The sequence below is a fragment of the Homo sapiens genome, chromosome 2, assembly GCF_000001405.40.
Source record: "Homo sapiens chromosome 2, GRCh38.p14 Primary Assembly".
Classification (NCBI taxonomy): domain Eukaryota; kingdom Metazoa; phylum Chordata; class Mammalia; order Primates; family Hominidae; genus Homo; species Homo sapiens.
The window spans coordinates 103,128,966-103,136,863 of NC_000002.12; the positions used below are offsets into that span (position 1 = coordinate 103,128,966).

Below are 7,898 nucleotides of genomic sequence, written 5' to 3' on the forward strand. Positions count from 1 at the left end.
CACACAATTTTAAATCCTGGTGACAATTTCCATGAAGTTATTCAAATACATTTTGACTTCTGACAAGAGGATGTAATTTATAAAACAGAACATGCCTATCAGTGGAACTTAAATTAGCATAATGAGGATACTTTCATTTCTGCAAGCACAGTTTTTGACATCCCTATGTGGAGCTCTTAGAAGAAACCAGTAAAAAAAAAAAAAAAAAAAAAAAAAAAGTGAATATACAGAAGTAGAAAATTATGAATAAAATACCTGAAAACTTTACCTGATTTCAGTAACAAAATAAATTTTACTTTCAAAAAAATCATTTCTCAAACTGATAAAAATGTTTCTTAAACGTAGAATACTGGAACACAGCCTTCAGCTGCCGTTATCCATATAAACTAAAAGAAGTGTTTTGAGGTTATCATTGCATGACAAGAAACACAGACATTCATGTTAGGCAATTTTTATCAGTGCTTTGAGTTAATTTACTATTGTGTTTCATATAAATCCACTGCAATCATAAGTATAACCTTTTAATACTGTTCTACAGTATTGTATTTCTGGTGAAATGAGGCTCGTTGTTGAGTGATTTGGCTTATATGCAGAAACATACACCAAATTGTTAAGGGAAAATAGATACTTTTTAGCTTACACAATATTGAACCATATTAACCACAGAAAAATGTTATTTATATCAGTGAATTTTGCCCTGGCCTGAAAAAGGATGAAAGAAGCCATCAATTCTTTCCACAGTATTTGAAGAAAAAAAAATGAAGCAGTTAAACAAGTAAAAACAGCAAATAAATTTGAAGCTTAAGTTATAAATATTATCTGTTTATAATGTTAAAAAAGAAAATATTTATAGTTTTTATATATACCTTTAAAAATATTGCTGATATTCTTTAGATGTATCTGAATTCGATGTCCTTAAGGAAGCTAAAGAGACCATCAGTATCAACATCTTCAGACAAAGGCTTCAATCATTTTACACCAAACCAGATTTGATAAGAGCTGCTTTACAACTGAAATACCTATAAAGGAAAATTTCCTGAGGCCTTCTCCTAAAAGGATATAGAAGACTATGCATTTGCTCAAGAAATCCGCATATTATATTTCAGGTCTTTCAGGAATGACACTTTCATATGAATGTGATATTAAAATGATATGATTCTAAAGTGGAACACAGGCGATGACTGAGGGATTATTGCATTTTACCTTTATTGTTTTAACTATACCTCTACCTGTAGCCTTCTCAATGGGTCTGCATTCCTTTTATTTATTTATGATCCTAACTTAGGACATTGCTAGCCATACAATTAAACACATCATTTTTGGGATTATATAAAACCTGTATGTTACACACAGGTTCTAAAAAAATTTTTGATATTTTTCAATATATCAGCCTTATTTCACAGTACTTTCTGCTTTTTTTTTGTTTGTTTTCAGTATATAGTTCAGGTCATTATTACATTTTGAGTTTTACAGTGATACAATGTATAAATATATCATTTTAGTTTTAAATATAGCACTGATCTTAACTAGCAGCAAAGGTCTTATTAAAATGCTTTAAAAGATCATGTAATAATCATAGCCAAAATAACATATACCTAGCAATGATATAAATATTCTTTCTGTTCTCTTTTATCACTTCTCCTCTCACCCATAAATACTTAATGCAAAAACTGCTATTACTTTTCAAATGTTAGTAACAAAAAAGGATGCCATACTTAATTTTTATATATCCCAAATACCACTTTAACATTTATTTCTATAAATGGAATTGGTGATAAAGGAATTGATATAATCGTGAAAAGCCTACTTCTCTGAAATTAATAAAATTATTATCTATGAAATCATGATTTTAATAAGTAAAAATACTAAAAGGTTTTCTGAGCACTTAACTGCAAATTTGTAGTAAAGTAATATCACAAGAAGAAAAATGTGGCTTTTGTATATAAAATACCACTGGGTTTTTTTGTGCCATATTTTTCCTAGGTAAAGACAAAGAGGGAGAGTGGAGGGGTTGGACTGGGGTATGGAAGGGAGAACTGGATGGCATCTAGAAAATAAAAATGACCTGAACTTGCATCAGCCTATCATCCAGTGCTGCATGGTGGCTCAGATCTGGCCACCGTGAATGAGCTCATTGGAGCTATCTTTTATATTGTCTCCTGGGTCTGACCTGTAAGTGTGACTAATTTATAGGAAATTTCCTAGACTCCCTTTACAATGTTCTACTAATTACAGTGAGGGAAAGTCAGTGATAAAGAAGCAAAAAGAAAAGGGGAAAAGGAAAATGGGTGAACGGAGGAAGGAGGAGTTAGTGTTTCATGGGAACAGAGTTTCAGTTTTGCCAAATGAAGAGTTCTGTAGATAGATAGCAGTGACAGTTGCACCACAATGTGAATGCACTGAATGCCACTGAAATGTACACTGAGAAGTATTTCAAATGGTAAACTTTATGTTGTATGTATTTTGCCACAACTTAAAAGTATGAAAAAAGAAAGAGGGACCGGTGGCTCACACTTGCAATCCCAGCACTTTGAGACGCCAAGGCGGCCTTTGGGATCACTTGAGGTCAGGTGATCTGCCCTGGCCAACATGGTGAAAACCCATCTCTACTAAAAATACAAAAATTAGCCAGGCCTGGTGACACACACCTGTAATCGCAGCTACTCGGGAGGCTGAGGCAGGAGAATCACATGAACCTAGGAGGTGGAGGCTGGAGGGAGCCAAAATTGCACCACTGCACTCCAGTCTGGGCAACAGAGCAAGACTCTAAAAAGAAAGAAAGAAAAGAAAAGGAAAGAGAAAGAAAGAAAGAAAAAAGAAAGAAAGAAAGAAAGAAAGAAAGAAAGAAAGAAAGAAAGAAAGAAAGAAAGAAAGAAAGGAAGGAAGGAAGGAAGAAAGAAAGAAAAGAAAGAAAGAAAGAAAGAAAGAAAGAAAGAAAGAAAGAAAGAAAGAAAGAAAGAAAGAAAGAAAGAAAAAGAAAGAAAGAAAAACAGAGAGAGAGAAAAAGAAAGGAAGGGAGGAAGGAAGGAAGGAAGGAAGGAAGGAAGGAAGGAAGGAGGGGGAGACCATTTAAATGAATTGTAGCTTACATATTGCCAGTGAGAAGGAAATTAATAAGCTAAAAACCTCCTGAACAGCTGTAGACAGAGGAGGGTGCTTTTTACGTGTTTTAAGAAGAATATTGAGGTCTGCGACTTGATAAAGCAGGGCCTGCATGTCACACTCCTCTGAAACCTGCAGTATTCCCAGGACAGAAGCTGCCCTGTTGGAGATGAGAGGGAGTGGAAAGATGCCATTTCCCACCTGACGGGCAGCAGACAATTCAGACACATTTATAGCAACATCCAGAATTGCTCAGACCTGAAAAACCATTAATAAAAATCGAAATCAATGGATAGAACAGAAATGCAGTTAATGAAGTGGTAACTGTAAGTTCTGAAATTTGAGCAAATGTCACTAAGAATGAATATTCTCTTAAAAGCTCCTCTTTTTAAGTACAGGTGATTGTTTCAATTCCAAATGCCAAGAAGATGATAGTGGGACAGTGGGTTTCTGGGGAGGGAAGGAGACAGATAACAAGTGAGAAGACCACAGGATGCAGTTAGTTATGTACAGGCTTAACCAATTCTCTGGTGCAGCAGCATCATAATTCTGATAATATCAGAATAGTGAGACAGCTAGGTGGGAGTGGGTCTCTGGAGAAACTCCAACCAGTCTGACCACTGAGGTGGAGCCTCAGCAAGTTCACAAGTGTGCAGCGGGGAGGAGCCTGGCCCTCCCTCTTCCTGTGTGAACCTGAGAGTCAAGCTCAGGGCAGGAAGCACTCCAGCAGATACCTCGGTAAGAGTCCTCTTTTCTTCTTTTTTACCCAATAAAACCCTGTCTTAAAAATTGTCTGTGAGCCTAAATTTTCATGGCCATGGGACAAAGAACCCTGTCTTTAGCTAGGAAGTAAGGAAAAGTCCTGCAACAATAGTACCAGATGAAAACTGTGGTTTGTAGTCTAAAAACATCACTTAAGTTAACAAGTTAGTGCACTGTATATCATTCTGATTTCCATATTGTAATGTTGAATGGATTGTGGAGTCTCTATAGAGCCTGAATTAAAGATGTTTCTCAGATCATTAAAAACAAGTAAACTTTGTCAGACCAACATGACATACCCTGGGTGGGTAAAATATGTTTCTCCCTGATTGGTTTAACAAGCCTGAGAGCTTGGTCTTGGTATTATACACATTACAGTAACATTGGAGAAAATTTAACCATTTGTTGTCAAAGATTAGGAGTAAATGAATTATAGCCAGAATGCCTAACAATTAAAAGCCAACTGCATAATTAAGAAGATCAATTCTACAATATTTCAAATGATTTGTGAATGGACTTTAAAGTGAACATTGTAACTTACATGCATTTTGTGCTTGTAATTATAAAACATGCACAAAATTTTAAACAAAGCATGTTCTCCCAACTGTCCACCACTGCACTGCTGACACCTTATTAATGGGTAATATATAGCTTTGCTTAGAGCATTCGTCAGCCTATCAGCTAAAGGAGTATAAACAACACTCTTTATAACTGGAATGTTTAATATACAGTATACAAGTTTGTATTTAAAATTAACTCTTGAAGTGAATATTTAAAGCCCTGTTATTATAGTCTACAATGACTTTAATATTCATTTTATTTATTTATTTAAATATATACTCTTCAGTTTCAAAAAATAAAAAATTAAGTAATTTTTGACACATTGTATTTTGATGGATGTCAAAATTGATATTTCCTTTATGAAAATCTGCAGAATATTCTAAATTAATTGTAATACATCTTTTACTAAAAAGTATTGAATTATATAACATTAGAAGACAATCAATTTTTTCTTAGACTTCAAGAAGATATGAATTACAAGCCTAATCTAATAGCAAATGTATAAGTCTGCACAAAATACATTAGATTTTCAAAAATTTGGGTGATTTTGATATTTCTTTTTTAATATTTAAATTAACAAATATTAAGCATCTTCATTTCTCTAGATCACATAATAATGAATGAAAATTCTGAATAGTTTAAATAATTTAATAGAAAACTAAGTTTATTTCTAAATATGTAAAGAAATATATTATTACTCACATAGTTTTTCCCATTAAAATTAGTTTGCAGTGTGCAAAACAGATCATCAACATTTCAGTAAAGATCAATGATTTAAACTATTGATCATAATTATGCCCATTGAAAAATGTCTTTTTTTCTGTTAGAATTCATAAATAATGTTTATTGAAGAAGTCATGTATTAATTCTACTTATTAGTTTATAGTTGATTCATCAACAAAAGCTAATTATTCTCAACATATTATTAGTTATGACATGTCAGCCAGCATCTCCTAGTCCTTTTACTTTTTCTTTACTCAGAGGACAAATATGGGTGATTTCTCAAACTACATTAGATAATTTAAGCCTTTGTTTTAAATCTTGTCTATTAAATTGTTTTAGGCTTAGTCATAATATGCTATTAGCATAAATATAGACATACATACAACATTCACACAGCCAAAAGCAAAGGATATTATTTAGTGATCTTTTCCCCTAGAATATTTAAGAAAGTTATACATAGAACCCAATAAATTATGGATTCAAAATATAGTCTTAAATCCAATTATTGGAGAAACCAGTTGAAAGCAGATTAACTTGTCTCCTACCTTGGGCACCATTTCAGCTGAACAATTGTAACGCTCTTTGTTAATACCAGCTAAGCAACCTCTTTGGGATAGCTCTCCACAACTTTCTTTTTAGGAATATCTCTGTAGACAATTTTTACCCAAATCCAGTTATTTGAATCATACAGGGATTAAGTTGCTTGCAGGATTTATGCAAGGTTAATTTCAGGGACAGATTGTAGTTTACTACAGTGAGCTTTGAAATACTACAATAGCAACAAATAATAAAAGAAGGAGGAAAAAGAGAGAGAGAGAAAGATTGAGTGCTCTACCTTAAGAAGGGCACCCACAGATTCCTCTAATTTCATGTCACTTGTGAGTTGGTGACTGTAGGCACAGTGGAAAGCATGGTACAGAGAACAGAGCAGGAAACAGCTTGCCTAATCACGTATAGTGGCAGGTGCTCTGGAGTCCAACTGCCTTATCTCCACTTTTTATTCCTTGTCAGAATACATCCTGGAGAATAATAACTTATTTTCTTTGACTTTAATAAATAGAAATTTAGCAATGGTCGTAATGTAGCACATGAGGTCAACATTCCTAAAAAGAAAGAGAAGAAGTAGAAGGTGGACTTTGGTTCACAACTTTTTACAATATAATTAATTATGTTTCAGTGACTTCAACGTCAGATTGATTATCAAATTGTTTCTTTGTGGCTAAAGCTATAAAATCAAGAGTGTGTGAAAGAGAGATTTGAATAGGAGTTATATGGAGAGAGGGGGAGAAACGTGTGGAACAGTTAACTTTGGAAACATTTGTTAATATTCACTGCACAGATGGGCACAGCATGTGCCGATGGGGGCACACCTGAGCTGGAGAACAAGCTGCCTGAATTTCGTGGGGACCCTAATTATAAACAGACAAGTGGAGAGATGCCACAGGTCAGCCAGCAGGGTGAAGGGGGAAAAGGAAAGTGCCAAATTCCCAGTGTTTCCCAGAGAATAATAAGATCTACAACTTTCATAACACCTTCCATCTGAAAAAGAACAAGAGACAGATGTGTCATCAAAGAAGATGGTGCTGGCCAGTCTCCATCCTCGCTCATTACTCTGATTTACATTTACTCACTTGCTCTTATCTTCTCTTAGTCTCACATTCCGGGTTGAGTCTGGTCATGAGGCAGGCAGAAAAGAAAAGGAAACCACTGGATATGGGATTTCCACAGGAACAGTATTTTCTTGGGACTTCATTTTACCCACAGGGTAGGACTTCCCCGCTCATTGTCTCATGTGCTTACTCATGGGGACTTTCCAATCCTGCAGCCACAACGTGATCCCCAGGCTCCCAATGTCCACACCAGGGTTAGCCCAGCTCTGTGGTCCTATTGATATCAACATCTCCTTATTTCATCTTTGCACGCAACCAGATCATAATAACGTCCTTTGAATGTTTATCTTAGAAAAGCTAATTTCTGAAATGCTGTTTTATATTCCTTGTATCTCAATTTGTTTTCCTTCTTTTTAGTTCCATAGGCAGTATCTTCCTGAAGGCTGTCATTTTCCCTTTTGCGTTTATATTACTGAGTAATAGCATTTGAACCCTCTCCAGGACTTCCAACTTCTACATGGCTGAGTGGTTCTCTGTGGAACTTAGCTTTGCCTGGGAGTTAGAATTGTGCTTACTCTAATTTACTTAGAATTAAATGCAAATAAACTTTTCATAATAGACCTGGGATGGGCAATTACATATCAATAAATACGTAAAACTGTATTATTGATGGATATAGAGCATTATATTTGATTTTTCAATCACTGAATTGTAAACTCAAGCACAAAAGAAGGCAACCATACCCATTAGATTGCACTTGGCTGTGAGTTTTGGAAAACTCAACTGATGGTGGCTTACAAAAATGATGTTTATTACTGACTTAGTAACAAGTCCTGGAATAGGAGGCCCGGTGTTTTTGGGTAGCTTGTTGTATTAGTACGTTTTCACAGTGCTGATAGACATATCTGAGACTGGGTAATTTATAAAGATAAAAGGATTTAATGGACTTACAGTTCCACCTGTCTGGGGAGGGCTCACAATCATGGCAGAAGGTGAAAGGCACATCTTACATGGTGGCAGGCAAGAGATAATGAGAATCAAGCAAAAGGGGAAATCTCTTATAAAACCATCAGATCTCATGGGACTTATTCACTACCATGAGAACAGTATGTGGGAAACTTCCCACATGATTCAATTATC

At 35.0% G+C, this 7,898-nt stretch overlaps 1 annotated feature.

Moving 5' to 3' along the window:
- Window positions 6,147-7,346: an enhancer, noted in NCBI's record as "P300/CBP strongly-dependent group 1 enhancer chr2:103751570-103752769 (GRCh37/hg19 assembly coordinates)". NCBI's record gives its function as "activates an origin of replication core promoter dependent on BRD2, BRD4, P300/CBP, MED14 and CDK7 cofactors, with strong dependence on P300/CBP, by STARR-seq in HCT116 cells {active_cell/tissue: HCT116}" and the evidence as "EXISTENCE:reporter gene assay evidence [ECO:0000049][PMID:35650434]".